Raw genomic sequence first — 24586 nt, forward strand, 5'->3', positions numbered from 1 at the left:
CTGTTGTGTGTGTATGCCCATCCCGGCCCCCAGACACACACACAACTGAGATACAGATGTAGATAGTCAGGAATTAGTTAAGAACTCTCAAAAAATAAAGCAGGGTAATTAGCTTGAGGGGAGAAACAGGAGAAAGACTGTTATTTTATGTAGGATGGTCAGAGAAATCGTGACTTACAATGTGGCACCTGAATACAGACATAAAGAGAACCCTGCAAACCCGAGAGAAAAACATTCCTGCCAGATAGATCAGTGGACTTCAGGTGGGCATGTGTCTGACGCAGGAGCAGGAAGTAGGCCAGTCTGGCTCAGGCTGAGGGGGTGGGAGGCACAGGGAAACAAGGTCACAGCAGGAGCAAGATCATGAGGGGAGCACAGGCTTCGGTTAGGACTTGAGCTTTTACTGAATGAAATGAGAAGCCTAGGATTTCCTAGACACAGTTCCTGGACAAAGAATGATATGCTCTGATTTATGTTTTAAAAGGGCTGCCTAGTGGCTATGTGGAGAACTGAGTGTAGTATGAGGAAAAGAAGGTAAGGTAGAGGCTACAGTAGTAATTACGAAGAGAAATGATGGTGACTTGGATTGGGGGTTGGTGTGGTGATCGTGAGAAGGGGTTGAAATATGGATAAACTTCAAGTGCAATCAATAGGTTTGCTGATGACTTTCATATACAGCTTGAGAAAAAGACATCAAGGATGCTGCCAAGGTTTTAAGGGGTGGCAGCTAGAAGAATGAATTTGCCATTTGCTGAGATGGAAATGTTCCTGGGAGACTCAGGTTCAAGCCAGTACACAGGAATTTGGTTTTAGACATGGGAATTTGAGATATCGATGAGCCATCCAAGTGGAGACACTGTACAGACAGTTGGAAACACAAATCTGGAATTGGTGGCAAGGTTGAGGCCTAGAATTTCATTATCAACTAGAGTGACAAATGTGAGAGTCAACACAGAGGCTCTCGAGGATGAGTGTAGAAAGAGAAACAGAGGTCCAAAGACGGACTGGTGGAACACTTCAGGTTAAAGGTTAGGAGGATAGGGAGGACTCAGTAAAGGAAAGAGAAAATGTGCCATAAAAGTGAAAGAAGAAGAAGATAGTTGTGCCTGGAAAGCCAAAAATGCAAAATTTCTTGAGAAAGAATGATTAATGAACTGTGACAAATACTGCTAATAATCTAAGGTGAGGAATGAGAATAGACCATTGGATTTGACAGCAGAGTGGTCACAGCCATATATCCATGCAAGTTGAAGACAGAGCGCAGACCCAAGCCAAAGATGAGGGAAACTGGTCTGGATTATATAGAACCATCAAACCACAGCAGTATAATGCAGGAAATATTAATCAAATGCATTGTTCTATTACATTTAACCATATTCAACCAGAACACCATAGTCTTTTTAAGCAGTTTGCAGAATAGTTGAAGATTAATTTATATTTAGAAAGCTTGAAAAATAGATTCTAAATCTTTAAATATTCATAGTATCCAACTAATTCATATATAATCTAATGTAATTTTAAATTAGTAATCACATCATGAAATTTCAAAATGTAATGACCTGGACCTGTGGAAGAGAAAGTTGCAGGCTAACCACTGATGAGAGCCACTGACAGTCCTATTATACATTCATGACTTGTCCTGTGTATATTTTACTATTTGTTATTTTCTTTTTCAACTAGATTCTCTTTTTAATAAAAAAGTACATGAAATAATGTCTAAACTTTAAAAATATTAGGGAAATCTCATTTTGAGCTGCTCTACACTGGGATATTCAAATTTAATCACAATAAATGAAAGCACACAATACACTGGCTGAGAAAAATATGGTGGTGGTTAGTTGTTGGCAATTGGAAGAATGACATAAAGACTTGGGGGTAAAAAAGTCTTTGTTCTTGTTTAGTTAATAAATATAAGGGCAAAAGGCCAAAATAATGGAAGTCTACATGATGAGGCAAAAACTATCTTTGATGCTCAAGTGGCATGCAGATTTAGTTTTCTGAGACATTAATTGATTAATGCTGAATTCATTTCCTTTGCATAATAAAATGACTCCATCTCAATTGGAAATTGTGGCTTAGCAAAAATATTTCTGCTTTAGTGGCTCCAACCCACACACCCCACCGCCCCCCCAACCCAGCCCGGAATTCTATAAGAAAAAAAGTAATGCCCCAGGCAGATGGCAGTCTATTTCCTAATATGAAGAGCTGAACAAGGCTCAGATTTCACCAGCTGTACCTCACTGGGAAACGAGGAGTTGGTGTTTCCAAAGAGAAGGTTTTCATTGATAATTTTGGACTTGGTCATTTGTCTTTATGTAACAAACAGGTACTCTAGCATCCAGCTAAATATGGTTAATGTCAGACATAATACTGAAAAAGCTATTGTCTTCGACAAATATGAAACTAAAGATTCATTTTGGCTAGATAATAAAAACTGCCAGTTAATTTGGCACTATGTAAAACTGAAATATCTTCCTATTTGGAATATATATTTAGTTCACTTTAAAGGTGGATACTAGCTAATGATGTGAACTGTGTAGGCCTAGTGAATGGAACCACAGAGGCTAGAAGTAGGGAAAAATTACTGGGACAGTTTTGTTCCCTTTTACGTGCTGGATTTTTCCTTGCAGTAACAGATCAATCTCCCTTAATATACATCCCATGTCATTATCAAGAACTGACTTTAAATGTTTTGAGACATATTGAAAGATGTTAGTTTAGATGTTTTAGAATAATTTCCCCTAGAGATTTCCAAAAGCAAGAGAACAGTTATCTTCTCTTCCTTAGAGCCCCAAAATTTATGATTGATGGAAAAAAGAAAAAATAATAAATTCCCTCTATGTGTTTAAAAGCTTCAAATTCTTGTCCTGTTAACTGAATCCAAATTTCATCACATTTTTTGTTTGCCATTGAAGTTTGTTTATAAAAAAGTATGGAGTAGAGATTTGATTATATTGCTGCCCAAGGCATTTTTAGGGTAACGGATATACATATGTGTGTGGTATGGAAATGATTATAAGTTATAGCATAATATATCTACTTATATAAAAGGAAGATTTCTAGAATCTAACAAAAATTGAATAGGCTGCCTAATTAATGCTATTATGTTTTACCTCTATATTGATATTGAGTAAAAACAACTAACATAATGTGTAATTCTTTGCTTTTTGGAATCATATTCTGTTTTTATCCGTAGTAAGGCCTGAGATCTGTGCTTATCTTGGCAGTGAAATTGAAGCATCAGTATTGTGTATGAATCTTACCAATACAGATCAATCCTGTGGAGCTGAGTTTGCTGCCGGGCGAACATTCACAATTGAAAGATCCAAGGTTGTTTCTGCAGGCCCCATTGACACATGGGTTGCTTTCACATTCATTTATATCTACAATCCAGAAGGAAAAGATTCTGTTAGAACTGCCATGTGTTTCTGGAAAATATTATTCCAACAAGCCATGCAATGCCAGAATGTCTGGTAAACTTGGCTCTGGTAATTTTAATATGGATCTATGAAGCATAAAGTGAATGGGGAATGGAGACATGCATTTTACATCGTGGATACACATCTATAGGACTGGGAACTCAGTAGGACCACAGTGATCAGCCTATTGGGAAAGAGTTCAGTTACATGCTCCTTCAATACATCATCACAACTTTACATAAATTGGATTTTTTTTTCCCACATAATAAGATGCAATTCCAGGTGCAACATCCTGTGCACAAACAAAGGTTGATTGCTTTGATGATTTCATGAGGCTCTGAAAAACTTAAAAAGTCTATCTTAGATGCAAAATATCACAATGCTGCTTTAATTCCAAGCTCTTGGGTATGAATCAGGAAATAAGGACTGAAACATTCATGGTGGGTACATAACTCTCCTCTAGTCCCTATCCACCTTCTCTGTCTTTAGCTGTTCACATTTACATGTTTAGTTTGCTTAGTTTTTTTTTAATACAACTAATTTTGGTAAAATAAAAATTAGAAATACTTGATCAAGTAGAAATAATTGCTTTAAATGGGACTCTACCATTTATTTGATTTGAGTCCTAAATGAAATCATATACCATAATCTAAACAATTCCTGTTGATGGTCAGAAGTAAGCAGAACTGCACTATGCCTATGTTCTCAAATGGTGATTACAGAAAATGTCAAGCCTGTAATGTGAAATAGTTTAACACATGAGTTAATGAAAAAGAAATACAAGCTTCAGGTAAAGTACTATAAAAAAAATCAAAGACATTTTCAGTATAAATTCAACCACTTTTAAAGTGGTACACTTTAAAGAAGTGGCACACAGTTTTCCTTCTCTACTAAATTATCTGAAAGAGGTCAATAGTCCTCAAGGCATTTTATATTGAACACTGGGGTTTCTAGGTTCACAAGAATACTTTTTCTTTCTCTAAATATTTCTTTGAATTTATTATAAAGCACTTTACTATACTGAGGAAAGCACATAAACAAATAACTAGAGGACTTTAAACTAAACTAATCCTGAAAGAGCAAGGCTCGCAGCGGAATATCCAGGTGCTAATTTAATTCTTGAAATAGAAATTGTTTGAAGAAATATGAATGTATTTTGCTTTTCAGATTGTTTATACTGAGAAAACCTCTTAAAAATACAAGAAGAGATTTTGTAAATATAGCACAGATTTCTAATGAAAACATCAATCCGAGTAGAGAAACTTTTTCATAAAAACACAATGTAAAAAAGAAACTAGCTAACCATAAAAGAAGCAGATAACAAATCTAAGGACAGACCACATATAATTCTCCTATTAATTTCATTTGTAAGAAGCCTGAAAAAAGAAGAATTTCAATATTGTGTGTTTTTAAAATTTCTATTTTAAATTAAGCAATTATGAATTCAGAAACTATAAACATATGCGCTGACAACTACAAATATCAACTATTTAGTTTTCCTTTAAATAATATGTTGTTATGTTATAAATGTCATGGAACCAGGAATTGAAACAGTTCACTGTACATTCCTGGAAATAAACTTCAAAGCACATCTGGTTTACATTTAACTAGTTATGTCACTGGAAACACAATCTAAACCACAGTGCTTGCTGTAAAAATTTTAACTTTCACAGACTCTCAGAGCTCAAACAAAAAAAGTAAAATAAAGTTTCTGTAACTTCAATCTGAAATATAGAAGAACTTTACTCTCTTTATTATTAGTGCTATTTGTTATATATTTAAAATACTCTGAAAACATGATTGACAAACAAAATTAGTGCACAAGACAAATATACAAGAAAAAGCTAAGATTTGCAATGAATCTGCTAATAATTCCCTGTCTAGTCTTTGGAAATTAATTCAGAAAGAAGAGAATGAAGAGAACTGCTTCAGACAGAAACACTTACTGTTTGAATGCAACAGAGGAAATAAGAAAGCGACCCAAGGGAAAAAGAGATTAGTAGCCTTCAAGTCTATTCTTTGCAAAACTCTTAATAAAATGCAAATAACAGTGGGAAGAAAGTGTAGAAATAACAGTTATTTGGTTAGGTTTCCCATGATAAATCATTTTTATTTCCTCCAATGTCATAAGGCTGGAGCCAAAAGAGTTGTCTATCATTTCTTCTTTATTTACATAACATGAACTTCTTTCCTATGAATGACAGACATAAAATTGTTTTTACATTAAATAAATCTCTCAGATTAAGTATGCTTGTAATAAGTGAAGATCACTGTTTCTAACCCTCACTGTTGCCTGATTTGGTATGAAAGTGCCTTAATATTTACATAATCACCAAATGTTACACTATTAAACACCACCAGCTCCTACTCTTAACTGTTCATGTAAGCAGGTGAGTCTCTGATTTTACCTTCTTTGGTATTTCAACTCTCAGAACCTTTGTACTCTGTTACTTGTCTATAAATAATCATTGATAATTCAGTGTACATAGCAAATAGAACCAGACACTATCCATTTAGTTCCGCATTACGTGTCTCTCACAATAGCACCAGAAAGTATTTTCCTAGACAGAGAAACCAGTTCTAAAAATCATCAGTTTCCTAGTTAAATCAAGATGACGTCCTACCCTGCTCTTGCTTTCTAAGTTTCCTGAGATTTAACGGAAGCTTATCCTCCAACAGACAACAGACAAAACTGAAAAAAGACTACGGGAAGGAAGTGTAGAAAATCAGGAAAAACAAAAACCTTTGAAATCCCTTCTTCCATCTGTCCAAGGAAATCATGGAGGAAATATGGCTAGGATACTTTTTCATAAAGTACATTTCTCAGAGCATTTCTGAAGAATTGGTGTTAGAGATGGGAGCAGGATCTAGAAAATAGAGACTCTGTAGTTGAATACATTTGAGAAGCCAGAGCTGGCTTAAAAAGAGGACTCTCATAACCTATTGAAAGATATTTCAAACTCTTAAGTGTGTCCCCTTCTCACCTACTGAAAAGATAAATCTTCAAGTACTTTCAGTGGGAATGGAATGAGCACTCCTCTTTGAGGAGTTCCTGAAAAGATGTTGGACAATAGGGGAAACTGTCACCAGAAGTAAGTTTAGAAAAAGGGGATTTTATGCTGAAGTTTTCTTTTTTTTTTCTTTAGGCTAATTACTGTTTTTTAGTGGCCCCTCTGATTCAATTCAAAGTTAGCACTGCACTTTGTAATTGCATTTCATTGACTTCAGCAGAGTCATTCATGTTTTGGCATCTTGTTCTATAGTCCTAACTGGTTTCTGTTCACAAGAATGCTTTGAAGTTAAACAGTAAGATGAAGAGAGAATGTTACATCTTTTTGCATACTATTACTACTGCAGTTTTCTTGGCTGTGGCATCACAAAAAAAAAAACCAAATACTTTAACAGATAAAAAAAAAGGGCTATTCCACAGTCATCAAAGATGAAATCTTTTCTTAAAAGTTTCTATTACAAAGTAGTAATTGGATTTGAGAATGTTATGGGACCCTTCTGTAGGCCCACACAGTGAGATTTAAACAGGAACAATGACTAGTATTCATACCACAGATTATTCTGAAATATACAGTACTTTGATCAAGATACAAAAACATAATTCAGTGTACTCACTGCTCAGCCAGTATCTCACTGAAAATGAGGACTTCTCTAACCATTTAACTCATTTAAGTAACTTCCACTGCAAAAATATGTGATTAGAAGAAAACAAAGAAGCTTTTAAACACTAGTTATGGTCTATAAACTCAAATGACAACTTTTAAATTATCAAATGGAAAGGACAATTCTCTTGGACTAAAAACCTATTAAAGTTATCATTTTTACTTAGTTCTCAAATATTTTGTGGGCTGACTTCTTGGGTATATCAATCATTTCATAAATAAAATGCCTAAGAGTTAACTTTTCCATTACGATTCAGGTTCCTACATTAATGGATCATAGTGGTTCTGAAAAGAGGAAAACACAGTAAACAAATATTTGACATTGTATTTCAGCAAGTAAAACAATATGGCTCCTTCCAGTTGGTTTCTTTTTTATCCGCTTTAAAATGTTTGTTCCAAATGTGTGTTGATATTTTGTCTGAGTGGAACAAAATTGATGGTGTTTGTAAACTGTATTAGGTCCTTACTATTTCAAAAACTGGCAGATTAGCTAAATGAGATTATAAAATAAAATATTCAAACAATATTCTTTTCACTACATTGCTTCATCACTGTAATTGATGTTTATACAACTCCAGGTACTCACTATGCACAAATAAGGCGATGAAGACAGCTCTTACCTTCACAGGTCTCTGTCTCAGTCCTGAACACATACCCTGGTGGGCACGTACAGCTGTAACTTCCTGGCGTGTTTCGGCACAATCCGTTATCACAAAGCAGTCTGTTTACTAAACATTCATCAATGTCTGAAAGCAACGATTGAAAGATAGGAGATACACATATTTAAGCATCTATTACAGTGGGCAGCAATGTTTAATTTTGTTATTTGTTTTATTTCCCTCTTTCTTCTCTGTGACATAGTCTCTGTATCACAGCGCACTCTTCATCCTAAGCAAAATATATTTAGTTTTATTCAAATGGGATATTCTTATGCTAGTGGCTAATTTTAAGATGCTTTTAAATCCCTGGAAAGTATGCACTAGCTTGGAAAGGCACATCTCTACTTCACTTGCTTTTAGTCCTGTAATGATATTATGTTAGATATATTTTTAAAGCATTCATAAAAGATATCAAAAGGTTAAATTCATTTGCCTGTATACTTGCTTATGTATAATAAAAGTAACAGAAGGCATTTTTTATGATTAAAATTTTTAAAAAGAATGCCTTATGTCTTCATGTCCCAGATGGTTAAAAAATGCATTAAACAGCAGTTAAAAGACATTCATTAATCTTTTCCCACTATGTTTTTATCTCAGAAACAGTTATTAATGAAAATGATGTATTTTGCATACTCTTTTAGCAGTCCAGAACAGCCTAGAGAATATCATCTAAAACTCCAGTTTAAAAAGCCCACAATGAGTTTTTTGTTTGTTTTTGAGACAGGATCTCACTCTGTTGCCCTGGTTATAGTGCACTGGTGCGATCACAGCTCACTGAAGCTTTGAACTTCTTGGCTCAAGCAATCCTCCTGCCACAGCCTTCCAAAAGTAGCTAAGAATACAGGCATGTGCCACCACGCCTGGCCAACTTAAAACAATTTTTTTTAGAGATGGGATCTCACTATGTTGCCCAGGCTGTTCTGGAACTTCTGGCCTCAGGTGATTCTCGCAGCTTGGTCTCCCAAAGTGCTGGGATTATAGGCATAAGCTACCGCACCTGGCCTCACATTTTAATCTTCATATTCTTCCATTTTTGCAAGTGTAGTTAGTGACAAAAAGAAATAAACCCTGTAGTTTAGAGTGAAGAGCTCTTTCACTTAAAGTTACATTTCTAGTATTGCAAATAACAATTTTCCCTTATTAAATAATATACTGATACTGTGGAGATTTTGAAAACAGATCAGAAAAACATCTGCAATTCCATCATCACTGATAATATTCTTTTGTGTATTATCTGACCCTTTCCTTTCTTGATCTTGTTTTTGCTCCAACTCTTAATCTTGATACTTTAAAAATTAACATTATATTTTAAGGACTAGACTACCATAGCTTTTCCCATAATAGTGTAATATGTGTACAAATTGTGACTGCATCACAATTTTCTTTCTCTCTTTCTTTCTCCACTCCCCTTCCCTCCCTTCCCTTCCTTTTCTCTTTTCTTTTTTCTGAGATGGAGTCTCGGTCTGTCACCACGGCTGGAGTGCAGTGGCGAGGTCTCCGCTCACTGCAGCCTCCGCATCCCGGGTTCCAGCGATTCTCCTGCTTCAGCCTCCTGGGTGCTGGGATTACAGGCACGTGCCACCATGCCCAGCTAATTTTTGTATTTTTTAGTAGAGGGGGGTTTCACCATGTTGGCCAGGCTGGTCTCAAACTCCTAACCTCAGGTGATCCACCCACCTCAGCCTCCCAAAGTACTAGGATTACAGGAGTGAGCCACTGCATCCAGCTTGCATCACAATTTTTTAACCCATTTTTCTAAGCTATGGATTGAATTGTGTCCCTTAAAAAAGATATGTTGAAATCTTAAAACCCAGTATCTCAGAATGTGACTTTATTTGGAAATAGGATTTTTATAGAAGTAATCAAGTTATAATGAGGTTGTTAGGGTAGGTTGTGAGTCAACATGACCGGTGTCCATGTGAAAAGGGGAAATCTGGATTTCACTTCTGGAGAATAAAAACTAGCATGGTTTGCATGTTGTTAGAAATGTTCAATAATCTTTGCCTGGTACTCTTCCCTGTAGTTATCAAAATCTATTATAGCACGTAATATAAATATAGCTTTTACATCCATCTGTATGTATGTCTTCAACTCCAAATCAAACGAATATGTTCAATAGTAAAAGCCACTACCAGAAACACAGAAAAATCTGTTCCTTTTCTAATCATAATCATTAACACTTGGTTGTAAAAGCCATAAGTGATTAGTTGTAAAACTATCATGCACAATGATGGATTGAATAACATTTATTTTATAAAAGTCCACTCAAGTGCTTTATGGGAAAATCTTGCACTAATAGGAAATAAGACTGTCAAACCTTTTCATCCTCCTCCTCTTGCATTTGTTAAACATAAATTACATACTTCAGTTTTTTCAATCATTCTCTTATAATTAAAAAAGGAAATACCTTTGTCTTAGTTGTCATGTTTAGGTATATTGTGGCAACTGGTTGTTTCTTTATGAAGTTAAAATTCTCTCAACCTGTAACACTTTATTTTCTTGACTTACTTTTATCCATACTGACCTGTTAATTTTTGAAATCAAATTCTTCGTAAAAAATTACAGGATTAAGGTATATGCAGGAAAACAATAGGCAAATAATTGAGGATGTTAATTCCGGAAAATAATATTTTAAAAACGAATTGGTACCACCAAGAAGTCTGTTACTGTGTAACAAAATTTGTTTGATTCTGATATTTTCCTGTCAATGTGTAATATGAAGAAAACAAGAAAAACTGTACAATTTTTAGTTTTAGTCATTTGTGTTTTTAATTCTAATATAATCCATGGGATTAAACTATATGAAATGTTCTTGCATAAATATAACAAATAACTTACCAATACAGTTTCTTCCAGAGGCATCTGGTTCATAGCCACTGTTGCAATTACAACGGTAACTACCACGTAAGTTTTCACAAATCCCATTGGCACATATATCAGGATCCAAAGCACATTCATTGATATCTGCATTAAATATTGAAAGTTTAGTGCTATCAACAAACATGTTATTGTTTGTTGATAAATGCAGGTCTAGTAAAGACCATTCAACATATGAAGTGTTTAACTCTGCAAACTCACAATTTGCCTGCCTTTCAGAAAGGAAAAAGAACTGAAAACAAGGAGTAAGAAAATAAAACTGAAAGATATAGGACACTTCACTGGTAAATCAAAAGAAAAATGAAAGACGCTGGCAGAAATTCAAAGAGTTAAATCACGAAATATGCCAGCATTTATGATGACATTAATAAAGACAATTTATAGGCTGTTGGCTCCAAATCCAAAGGAAAACTCGAGTTGATAGATATTGTAATCATCTAACTAAAAGACAGATTTATTAGGGTGGCCCATATAATTTTATGGTCCCCAAAGGTACAGGATATTTCTATTTTATTACATTTTTGAGGTCCAGTTACTAATATTTAATAAGTGTTTCTCATTGCTGATACTTGAAATTACTGGAGAGGACACTTTAAACATGGATGCTTCAGAACATGACGTTTTATAACGAGCCGTGAACATGACTACTACTACTATATCACCGAGGGGCAGTGGAACTTGTGCACTGATGTGCTTGTATGAATGATCAAGTAGTTTCCAATAGAGGCTGGCTCTGCTGGAAAGGCTGTACTGACAGGGAATATAATGAAAGAGTAAGCCCAAAGTCAAATTTTGGTCACTATGCTCAAATTTTGATGCTATTGTTTTCAATAATTTGGGAGACCTTAAATATTTTGGAAATGTCTTTCATTTTATACTTGGGAAAAACATCCTTTTAAAAGTTTACTTTTCACTCTGGTTTGGATATTTATTATAAAGATTCAACATTACTGCCTACCATCTATAATTTGACTAAAGCTTTCTCAAACACAAGGGTAGAAGAATATACATAAATATATATATATAACCGTATATATATTTATATATACTCTTCATATATACATATTCATATATATAGTGAAGATTAATAACACCCAAGTTTTATTTATGTATAAATGAATCTATATGTATATTAAAATATAAAAGAATCTGAAAATTACAAACACATATGTACTTAAATGTTCAAGATTCTATATTGGAATTTTGTTAACCATAATACAAAATTGAAAGCAAGAAAAATTTTAGTGAATCTTACTTCTTTACTTGGAGAGAAATGTTTTATTATTCTTAGGTGTAAATAGTCTTAACAAATTATTTCAGCCAGTATATCCCAAACTTGATCCATATCAAATATCTCTTTAATACTGTTTATTTTTCTAACCCTATCTGCACCATTACTTAATGTTTTATCATAAAATTGACTTATTCTTCTTTTTTTAACTTAAATGTCACATTATTCTTTTCTTAAGCAATGACTGACTGAAATCAGGAGAGTAGTTTGTTAGTGACATTTTTAACAATGCATATTTAACAGATAAATATTTATCCAAGATGAAAATGTGTATCTACATATCACTTAATATCATCTAGCTTATAACCACTGCTCTAGGAGATAATTAATCTTATTATTTTATAATACTACATTTTCATATTAAATATACTCATATTAATATTAGAATTATAAAGCTATACGATTATGTCACGTGATTATTATAAAGTTGAGATTAACTAGAGTTACCTCTTCCATCCACAGTGATACCTACTCCACTACTACAAAGGCCGTGGAATTCAGCTGTATGACAAAAAGAAATAGAAGAATTAAAAACTTAACTATACCTATTCCATATACAAGTCATTTCATAACTCCAAAACTACCATTAGGAAGAATTATTTGTGCATTAGTTTTTAAAGTGAAAAAAATTACCATTTTCTAGCAAACAATTATTATAAAATTCTGAACTTATAAATAAGCATAAAAGAGTAAAAATCACTTGTAATCATCATCCTGAATATTATTAATACATATAAATGTTACTAATATTTTCTACATAAGGAAACTTTAAGAAAAATATAAATGGTCTTAAAGAGCTTGATATTTAACTTTTTTTCCTCACTAATAAAATAATAACAGCCAAAATATAGGTTATAGTACTTACCAAGTGCCTGGTATTGTTCTACATTTTTCATCTATCAATTTAGTTAATCTTCCCAATACCACAAACTAAATACTATTGTATTTTCCTTTTTACAACTGAGGAAAAGGGGGAAACAGAGAAGTGCAGTAACTTGACCAAAGTCACAGAGGTTGTAAGTGGAGAAGCCGACTTGGCTCCTGGGTACTCTATCACAGGCATGTCATGTCAATGTCCCATTTAATAGGCCATTTAATATTGTTTTCTCAGTTACATAGAGGTATCACATTTATTCAGTCAATCTCTTACTGGTGAAATTAGGTTTGTCCAACTTTTAGCAACTATCATAAATAATATGAAGTTTAATTATATCACTAGGATAGTCTCTTACAAGTAAAACTCTCAAAGTTTATGCCCCTTTTAAGGTTTTAGATAGTTCTTCCCCTCCTAAAACGCCCCCAAATTACCCCTCCATCAGCGGTATAAGACAGTATTCATTTTTTTAATACCCTCATTATCACCGGGAAGAATCAATCGTTTATACCAATCTGCTAAACAAAAATGGCACCTTATTTTTAATTATACGGAGAGTGGGCATCTTTTTACATGGTATTCTTCCATTTGCATTTCTACTTTCTGAAATCCTGTTTATGTACACTGCTGTTTTTTCTATAGAGGATTTCAACTCTCCTTATTGATTAATGTAAATTCCATAAAGATTAAGAAATGATAAATAAAAATATTTTTCCAGATTACTTGTGTATTTTACTATTTAGGCCTGCTTTGAAAGTCTTTTACCATTACAAAATAAAAAAGAATTTATATTCTATATGAAAATTATGTTTTAATGTTTAGTGTAGGGACCTAACTTCATATTTTTTTCTGAAAGTTATCAACAATAATTATTATTTAATCTTTTTCCTTGCTGCTCCAAAATGCTTTGTTATATCCTAATTCCTATTCATATTCAGGTTTCTAGATTCATTTTATTAGTTCACTTAGGTTTTTGTCTAGTCTTATGCCAATTTTTGAACTTATTTGATAATATGCATAATTCAGTTTGGTACATTTTAGAACTACGTTCTCCTCATTATTTTTCTTTTTTTTTTAAAAAAAGTCACACTCAGTAATTCTTCTGGATGCTTCAAATCATTATTTCCACGTTTGAAGACTCCATTCAGGATTTTTAAGGGAATAACAAGACATTTCCTTTACAGGAATGCTTTCCTGTATCCTCCATATGGAAAGTTCTTACTCATTTTTTTCAAGACCAAACTAAACGTGCCCCTTCTTTGAGGTCCTTCCCAGCTTCCCTGGGCTACAAATTGCTCCTTCCTCTGTGCTCTCTCCATACTTGAACCTTTTAAGGCACTAATCACACTAAATTGTAATTTATACATTTGCCTGCCTGTATTCTCAACTACTGTTAACTTTAAGGAAAAACACAGATTGTGTTTATGTTAGAATCCCTACTGTACTTACGTATATTCAATATATATTCAATACAGGTTTAGTTAAACTATGAACAGACAAGAGTCAATGTTATTGACCTAAGAGTTTGGAACTATTGCCTGAGACTGTGACTTGAGACCACTTGGTGTCAAGATATATATATAGAGAGAGATCTTCATATATATGTGTGTGTGTGTGTATATATATATATACACATATATACATATATATACACATATATATACATATATATACATATATATACACATATATATACATATATATATAATCAAATTGAGTTCTTGTTGTGTTTATAACCTTGAAAGTGGTAAGTAAATTTTATGCTATTTGTCTTCACCATGACAGCACAGATCAAGGAAACTGAGGCTATCATGTTCATGTAAAAAAACCCTCTTATAATAATCATAACTGTATAAGAAAATAGATTTTTGATTGTTTTTTAAAGAGTCAGCATCTCGCTCTGTTACTCAGGCTGGAGTGGAGTGGCACAGTGATGGCTCACTGCAGCCTCGAACCCTTGGGCTCAAGTGATCCCTTGCACCTCAGCCCCCCTAGTAGCTGGGACTACAGGTGTGTGCCACCACACCCAGCTAATTAAGATTTTTTTTTTTTTTTTACCAAGACAGGGTCTCACCCTGGCTTCAAGTGATCCTCCTGCCTGAGCCTCCCAAAGTGCTGGGATTACAGGTGTGAGCCACCACAATCAGCCAGCAAATAGATTTTTTTATTCACTGTGTGTTCTGTTGGCCTAGAAATCGTATATAAACACAAGCCAAATCTCCTTATTATATGCCTCACATATCAATACAGGATTGGATTTCTCTTCTTCAGTTAAAATTAATGATGAAACACTTAAGAGCTGATGTTCTCTTTGGCCAAACATCTAAGGTTGTATTTCTTGATTCTTTATCAACTGTGAAAATGGCACATGTGACTACCTGAATTTTTTGCAGGGCATGGCTGGCAGGGTTCTCCAAAACCATAGTCTGGATTGGCACAGCAGCATTCGGACTTGGTCACTGCACCGGGGAAAGGACGCACACACACTCCTTTCTTGATTCCTCCATAGCAGGTACTGCGCATGTGAGTATCTAAAGGAGATACAAAAACAATGACTTGAGGCAGTGATAGAGACAAAGAGATTTCGAAACAGAAGGCTTCTTTTAACCTAAGTGGCCACTAGACTGGAAGCTTTTCAAGGGCATCTGAGACTTTTATTTTGCATCTTTAGCATCTAATAGTGTTAGGAAATCAACAAATGTTTTCTGAGTGAGGAAAAGAATGGATGCATATCACCGACTCTGTTTTCTTTAATAAGTTTTATGAGCTACACAGTATCCATTGTCCGATGTATTCTTACAAACCTTTTGTGAAACCTAGGATATTTCCACAGTTATAAAGAATACTTGGAGCTCTAATCACTGGCTATGCTATATTCAAAATGACACTTCTTATTTCAATTTTGGAAGTTCTCATGAACAATGAAGTGCAATCAAGTTAAACTACCTTGAGGTGATACTGGCTTGGGCGTGAGATTTCTTACTCCCACTTTCCGAGTTAGGAGGCCTTTCTTTTCAACCCCCAGGATACTGCTTGTGACTGTTTTAACCTCAGAAACTCAGTAAATCCAGTTATAAAAATAGTTAACTACCATATGTGCTCTTGGCATTGTGCTCGTTGCTTTACAGACATTATCTCATTGAACAGTCAGGTCAACAGCTCTATAGGAGTGGTCATTACGTGCATTTTATAGATGAGGAAGATGAGGTTCACAGCTACCTATGTAGTTTGAAGTCCTTGAATATCCAGTGCCTGAGTTGGGGTTCAGACAAGGTTTATGTGACTTCTAAAACTCTTCCTCTTTCTAGTAAGTAATGCTATACCCCAAAGAAGCATATTCTGCTTAGTTCTCTCACTCTTAATTCTCATAAAATACCCTACAACTTTATAAGACAGTAAATGGTGAACTATAAAAAACTCAGATCATAAAGGGCAGAGAACCCATGCAATTTTTAAGCAGTATACTGACCTGGTATACTCCAGTATACCTCCAGAGATAACCTCTATTATAAATATCTGTAACTATTCACAACTTGTTGGAAAAAATTTCATCTGCTTGTTATGCAAAATGGCCATCCAATAATTTCTTATGACCTGGGGGCATTTCTGATTAAAACAGTGATTTATGGCTGCATTAAAAATGAGATACGTGTGTGCTTAAATGGAAGGAGGCCATGGAATTCACCAACCCCATCCCTGAGGAGTCAACTCAGAGAAACTTGTGCTGCCTCTGCTGTGGCTGAGTTTGGCAGTGTATCTTCTGAGTTACACAAACACAGATTTGACTTGAAGGCAAATTTGCACAAATATAACATGGTTCATCATTTCCAATATGATTTTTGTGAGTTCTTTGGACATTACTGATGATCTTGGAAGGCATCTATGAACAGCCAAAGTTATTTCTGCTTTTGGGTTTAGAGCATATGCCATGCAGAATTTTTAAAAGCAAGCAGATAAAAGGCCTATGGAGCTCACTGGAAGAGTGAGACATGTTATATGGTAGTTTGCATTACAGGTGAACCAATCTCTTTAGAGTACCCAACACCAGAAGTTTCATGAAAAAGAAAGTAGCATAACTTATGTGTAGGTTTTACGGACATAAACTTCCCAAAGTTCAGATCCCCACAAGATGATCTTACATAAATTACTTAACATCTTCCTTATTCATTAAATAAGGATACAGTTTGTATAGTAAATGAAAGTATATTTGTTAAGCACTAAGCACACTGCCTAGGACACACCTGAAATACTAAAAAAAATGGTGACCACCTTATTTCCCTCTTCTATTTTTTTTTCTAAGACTAGTAAAGTGCAGCAGTGAGAAGGGAGGAAAAGTAGAACAAGGAGTTCTATCTGTAACTGATACTGTGAACTATCAGTTGAGATAACTCACTATTTCCCTACTGACCTTTTCCTGTTCAAAGACCCCAAATTGGCAACCTAGCTCATATTATACTATTCAAATATAACAGAACCACTGTATACAGGATAGGATAAAAGGAACAATACCGGTAGCACCATGAGAATATGCTCACATGAATGATCTGGTGACAGACTGGACCTAAATGCATCTTTTCCATATGTTAGCAGACTTCTGCATGCCTTTTCTCTCCTTCTTTCTCTCTCTTTTTCTTTCTTTTCTTTCTCTTTTTCTCCTTCCTTCCTTCCTTCCTTTCCTTCCTTTCTTCCCTCCCTCCCTCCCTCCATCCTTCCTTCCTTCCTTCCTTCCTTCTGTTTTTTTTTGAGATGGAGTCTCGCTCTGTCGCCCAGGCTGGAGTGCAATGGCGTGGCATGATCTTGACTCACTACAACCTCCAGCTCCTGGGTTCAAGTGATTCTCCTGCCTCAGCCTCCTGAGTAGCTGGGATTACAGGTGCACACCACTACAACCGGCTAATTTTGTATTTTTAGTAGAGATGGGGTTTAACCATGTTGACCAGGCTGGTCTCAAACTGCTGACTTCAGGTGATCCACCTGCCTTGGCCTCCCAAAGTGTTGGGATTACAGGTGTGAGCCACCATGCCTGTCCCCTTTTCTTTCTTAAAAAATGAAAAGATTTAAAAATTTCTTCAGGTAATTAGCAGATTCTACATACCATGAGTAAAATATGTATGTATGCAAAATGCTAACTTTATTTTATTCTTCTTTCTTTAAAATCAACTTTTATTTATAACTTAAAGCAGCAACTCTTAAGACTATGACCTAGATATGATACCACTATTCTAATTTAATAACAATAATATCAGTAGTAGTTAACTTATTGCGCATTTGCTATGTGCTAGACACCATTCAAAGCTTTATTTAATTCTCAAAACAACAAAAGAGGAAAGGAGGAACAGAGAGGTCCTGTATCTTGCTGTCATCTTATAATTTTTTGTCACTTAAGAATATTCAGTAGTTATCATGTTGCCTGACTTTTCTTCCTTACTTACTAAACTGCATCACTGAATAAACTTAAAAATAAATTTTGAATGAATGGGAAAGATAAAGATATGATTGCCTTTTGTTTACAACCTTGCTTGTGAGTTGTATTTCAATATACTACTTAAAATCATAGCTTAATTACCTGAGACTAAAACAAAAAACAAAAACACATCTTAATATCTACAGAAGAAAAATGAACAAACAAAAAATAGATCTAAAATTAAAATGCTTATCCTAATAGTTTTTCATAACAGTGATTCATTTATTTTTTCTATTTTTTTTGAGACAGGGTCTCACTCTGTCACCTAGGCTGGAGTGCAGTGGTGCAATCATAGCTCACTGTAACCTCCACCTCCAGGGCTCAGGCAATCCTCCTGCCTCAGCCTCCCAAGTAGCTGGAATTATAGGCACATGCCACCATGCCTGGCTAATTTTTGTATTTTTTGCAGACACAGGATTTCACCATGGAGCCCAGACTGGTTTTGAACTCCTGAGCTCAAGCAATCTGCCCTACTCGGAATCCCAAAGTGCTGGGATTATAGGCATGCACCACTACACTTGGCTAATTTTTGTACTTTTTGCAGAGATAGGGTTTTACCATGATGGCCAGACTGGTCTTGAACTCCTGGGCTCCAGTGATCCGCCCAACATGGAATCCCAAAGTGTTGGGATTACAGGCATGAGCCACTGCGCCAGGCCTCATCTCAAACTTAAAGAATCAATGGGTCTAAAAAGTGACATCAAGTCAAAAGACATGAAGAAAACATCTAGCATGTTATAGAAACAGTAATATATAATTTTATACACATGAGAAATAATGTTTTTATTTTAAAAAGTTTAAATGACCACAATGATGAAAAACTGAAGGAGGCTTTCTGAAAATTTCCAATGTGTTTCCTGGATTGTGAACAAGATAATGAAATTTTATGTTTTACTGAATTCCTAGCAACAACTCGCATGTTGGTTACTTAAGAGAAAAATAATTTCTCCCTCCAAAACTGGCTTTGTGCTCATGGTAGATTTCAACAGAATCATTTAGGTAAAGGAAAAAAGCAAGTAAATATATTAAAGCAACTGAAAATATTTTAGCTCTGTAAGCAGGAAGAAGTTATATTCTTCTAGCTGCTGTATTTGAAATATCCCTGAACAAAGTGCTGACAACTTTGTAGGGTGAAATAAATCTTTGACTGGATAGAGTGGATAAATTTGAGTGAACAGATTATTTCCATCTGCAAATTCTCTACTTCTTCTCCTCCACCTTTGGGATCCATATGTTTTGATTCTCATAGGTAGGAGTAAAGTATTAACTATGTCTAAGAATATGGTATCTCTCAAATATACTTTGAAATCCTATTTCTGTGTTTTACTGTACAACATGAAAAATAGAGGGTATACAATGGCTAATTCACCCTAGAAGCCTCATGAAAACATTTTTGGAGAGAAAACTGCATTAAATGTATTTTTACCACTCATTCTGCTATCCTTATCACTGGAATATATTGCTGGGGTTCCCAAACGCCAGTGACGCTTCTGTTTTGCCTGCCTCTTCAAAGCTGGGCCTGGTACTTCTGATTGATTTTCATGGGATCAATTTGACAAAAATAACCTAGAGGAATCTGAATGGCTTAGAATAAAATATATATTCTTGCTCATACTTCTTTATACTCTTGCTTCTGCAGCTAGTTGCATGGTGATGAGGAGTAACATTTTGAGCTTTTGATGCAAGTCCAATATTTATATTTTAAGTTTTGTTAGGGTGAAACCAAGTTTACTTACCTATAACTATAATCCCCATTACATATCTTATTTGTTATTAATTATAAAACTGAAATGCACTGTGTTTAGGATTCAGTTATCTAATATTATCAAGTATGCTAGTTTAAAAATATATTTTTTCTTCTCCAGCATGTCATCAGAGCCTTCTGTAGGTTCTGAAGGGGGCTATCTGGGGGTTCCTGTCCATTAAAAAATAGCTTTGTTAATATACAATTTACATACCATAGAATCCATCACTTTAAAGTGTACAATTTTATAGTTTTTAGCATATTTACAGATGTGTTCATCCATCACTACAGATGATTTTAGAACATTTTAATCACCTCAAAAATATCTTTTAGCTCCCACCCCATTCTCCCACCACCCCCATCCTCTCTGTCCTAACACGAATCTACTTTGTCACAACGGACTTGCCGATTCTGGAGATTTCATATGGATGGAATCATACACTGTATGGTGTTTTGTGACTGGCTTCTTTCACTTAGCATAATCTTTCCAAGGTTTATCCATGTTTTAGCATGTACTCTTCTTATGGTGAATATTACTCCACTGTATAGAAATATCTCTGTCAGTTTTTCAAAGATCATTTTGCACAGTGGGGCCATTATAAAATGTTTCACTTACCAACACACACACGTCCATCCATGCCCACAGCCAGGCCTGGGGGACAGTCACAGCGGAAGGACCCTTCACTGTTGATGCAGTGCCCATTCATGCAGATTCCTGGGGTCTGGCATTCATCAACATCTGTGCAGTGGGTGACAGAAGCCAAGCAGTTACTGGGTAAATTTAACGTTATTACAGGGTTTACTTGCAGCCACTGCTCTATACTACTAACCTTTTGTTTATAACTTTATAATTTGTGAAGAACAAATAAGTGTGGTAACAGGTATCATATACAAATGCAATCCTTTCAACACATTTCAGAATGCTTTACTTTACCTACTGAGGAAAAAAAAGCCTCACAATCTTCTTTTTCATTATTTATTTGACAATCCCATTTAACGCTAAATAATTCAAATTAGTTAAGTAAAACAAATTCTTTAAAAATTAAGGTAAATTTCTGTAATTTTTTTCACACAAAGACACTTTAACTAGAAGTAGATGCTATGCTGATATTCATTTGGTCATTTGATAATAACAAAATAACTTGAGGTATGTCTTCTAATTTTCAATCCACTTGAATTTATCAAACGTAACCCAGCATTAAATGACTTCCCCAAAAGATGAAAGAGACTTCAAACACAGAGCTGCCGACTCAGGAATACTTAAAATCTTCACAACATTTGTAATTAAATAATTAATAAGAACTAATTTCCAGAAAGCAGAAACTGGTGAGGTCGAAGTCATCTTTAGATGTATATTGAAGTTTCTTTAAAAAGGCTGAAATAAAGTCACATACTGTAACATAATTCTACACACTGAAGCATAATGACAATTTCCTATCCTGTGTTAAATCTAAATCAGCTAACCCTGAGATGACATCCCAGTCATGAGTTCAACCAGCAAAACTACAGTACTCCTCCTTCTTGGAGAGTCAAAAATTTGTTTCTTACTCAGAAACATAAGAATTCAGTCTCAATTTTTTAACCTCTACTGTCCCTAGAATTTCATTGTAATTCATTGAAATTATAAGAATTGAGCATGATCCTTATCTGGTACTTAGATTAAGTTTGTGCAATTGAAGGCAGAACATCATTGATGGAGTTAATTTTGTCTTAAGGAAGGAAACAAAGAAAAACAAAAATTTGGCCAGGTGCGATGGCTCATGCCTGTAATCCCAGAACTTTGGGAGGCTGAGGCAGGAGGATTGCTTGAGCCCATGAGTTTGAGACCAGCCTGAGCAACATAGTGAGACCTCATTTCCACAAAAAATAAAACAAAATTAGCTGGGCATGGGGGCACATGCATGTACTCCCAGCTACTTGGGAGGCTGATGTGGGAGGATGCTTGAGCCCAGGAGTCAAGGGTGCAGTGAGCTGAGATTGTGCCACTACACTCCAGCCTAGGTGACAGAGCAAAAACCTATCTCAAAAATAAATAAATTTAAAAAAGAAAAGGAAAAATGTGCTTCTAAGTAGAAGCTGCAAAATGTATTATTCCACTTTATTAAATTCCAATTGTGAGTACAAACATAATAAGGTCTCATTTATTTCCAAGAGGTATAACTTTAGCTTATTAAGGTTATCATTAGAGCTTGGTCTTCAAAATGGCTTTGTAAACAAAATAATTAATTGAAATATTAAAATTATGTCTTCACTAAATCAATGTAAGGTTTTTAGATAATGACACAGTTACAAATGGTCTGTATATTAGCTTTATGGAAAAGATGTAATGCTAAACCCATAATGAATGACAGTGGAAAATCTAGTTCTGAGAATGCATAAAAAACAAAAACCTTTCAAGATTTTTTCTTCTTCTTTTTTATTCAGCCAAGCAGTTGAGAGAAATTATTTCTACGTTGTTTTCCACAAGACTTGCTAAAACCAATCTGTCAGTTCCTTAATTTTTCCTATACCATTATTATTTTTGTTAAGATATGACTGTTCCCTAGACCACAATGTGTGTTTTTCTAGAAAGCTTTAGACACCTGCCTTAGTGAATTAGCAAGAAATGTGAATAATATGAAAGCCACATGGGGAAGCTGAAGTAATTCTTCCATGGTTCATTCAAATAAAAAAGGTGGTTTCAATCATGGTCACTTTCCTATCTGAAAGCCACACATACCAGTACAGTAACGCCCATTTGGAGCCAAGACAAATCCTGGTTTGCAGATGCACTTGAAGCTGCCATCTTCATTGATGCACATTCCATTCAAACACATGTTGGTAGTTGTACATTCATCATGATCTGCAGAAGAGGATTGAGTGACTTTGAACACTGGCCTTGAGGGAACCAATTCCTTCTTCTTCCATAAACAACCCCCAGTCAAATTCCACTACCTAAATGAGCCATGTGCTCATGGCTTTTAGTTTTTTTTAAAAAAAGAACGCCAACTGAATGAGAAAAAATAGTGCGGAGAGTGGAAAGGACCTTCAGTATATGGATATAAAGGAAAATAATCAAATTTTGTGCTTAGCTCCTGTTAAAACCACATAAACCATGAGTAGTGTTACTTTGTGTACCAAAAAGATAATATAATTTCAATGAGTGTTTATTTTATAAGAAAATAAGGCAATGGCAGACCTCACTGCAAATGAAATGATCTGGACTTTCATTAGTAGATGAATATGATGTGTTACCTTGTAAACAATATTTCTGTGGTGTGTTGGTATCCATTGCACTGCTAGATATCACAAGCCACAGTTTTAGAGATTTGTGTACTGCATATGTCAAACATTTTTATATTCCTCCAGTTTGTGGAGGAAGGGAAGACCTTTTCTATTTTGTCAGTGTTGTAACCCCAACACCTGAAATACAGTAGCGGTCAGTAATTGTTTAAACTTATGAAGAATAACTGCGACTTACAATTTAACTTGTAACACACAGGAAATTTTTAGAAGCAGTAAATTATTCACTGTTATAACATCTCCTCCCCTCCACCACCAAAAAAAAAAAACCAAAAAACAAACAAAAAACCTGTCCTTTTGCTTTAACAGTCTTATATTAAATGCATTTGCATTTTACCTAAGTTACCTGAAGATCTCACATACGTGGTGTGTGAGCTTTCATGGAAATAGTACATGGTTCTAAATAAAAATGTATATCCTTTTAAAATCTTTTGCAAGGGAGCAGGCAATTTCCATACCAACACAGTTTTTTCCATCTGTAGTTAATTCAAAGCCGGCATTGCAAATGCACTGGAAACTTCCATCTGTGTTCACGCATCGACCGTTTTTACAAAGAACCCCATTCTGGATGCACTCATCAATATCTAGGAAGATTGAGAATGGCCAAACATCATTCTTTTACAATACTTATAGATAAACACAGTAAGATAAGAAATGGAATTTTAAATATTCAAAATCATGTTACTTCTTTAGCAAAATTTCTGTCTCTCAGCAGTTTTTTTTTTTTTTTTTGGATAGGTAGGTGCAAGCAATTTTACAGCTCTTATAGTAGCTGAAGTGGGAAAGGAAAAAAAAAAAGAGGGTATCCAGTAAACCTAAGAAAGGGTGGGCAAGACAGCTGGAATTACTGGTTGCAGCTGTTTTTCACATAGTGGATGAAGGCCTTAAAAGTCAGAACAAGATGTTGGATAAGTGTAAAGTAACTACAGAATTTCTAGATTAAGAGTAACACAATGAAAACTGCTGGAAAGTTGATTCAAGCAACTACCTGTGGATGAATAGGAAATGAAAAAGAAGACAGGCAGTCATCTGCTAAAAGAATTCTGAGATGAATCAGCAATGAGGTAGCGCGTTTGGACCAGGGTGGTGGGTGTAGCACTGAAGCTGTGAATAAAGACCAGGCATGACTTGGTGTTGGACTATGTGTGGGATTCAAAGAAAACAGTAGTTTAAAATGACTATAAATCTTAAACTCAGTTAATCAGAGAAGGTTACTGATGTTATCTGGAGAAAGGAAGCTCTGATCTAAGGAAGGAAGATAAACTGAATTTTTGTGAAAACAGATACCATGTTGCCTGGGTTATA

At 34.9% G+C, this 24586-nt stretch overlaps 1 protein-coding gene across 2 annotated transcripts in view; it reads right to left on the reverse strand.

Moving 5' to 3' along the window:
• Positions 1–24586, reverse strand: part of FBN2 (fibrillin 2) — a 280337-nt gene that overhangs the window by 96104 nt on the left and 159647 nt on the right. For both annotated transcript variants that reach the window (XM_017009228.3, NM_001999.4), the window contains 8 exons: positions 23740–23865; positions 22719–22841; positions 20616–20738; positions 15170–15322; positions 12365–12418; positions 10588–10713; positions 7711–7836; positions 3264–3383 (listed from right to left, as the gene is read on the reverse strand). In XM_017009228.3, the coding sequence (XP_016864717.1) occupies positions 3264–3383; positions 7711–7836; positions 10588–10713; positions 12365–12418; positions 15170–15322; positions 20616–20738; positions 22719–22841; positions 23740–23865 (951 nt within the window). The remainder of the gene's footprint in view (positions 1–3263; positions 3384–7710; positions 7837–10587; positions 10714–12364; positions 12419–15169; positions 15323–20615; positions 20739–22718; positions 22842–23739; positions 23866–24586) is intronic.

The sequence above is a fragment of the Homo sapiens genome, chromosome 5, assembly GCF_000001405.40.
Source record: "Homo sapiens chromosome 5, GRCh38.p14 Primary Assembly".
Classification (NCBI taxonomy): Eukaryota; Metazoa; Chordata; class Mammalia; order Primates; family Hominidae; genus Homo; species Homo sapiens.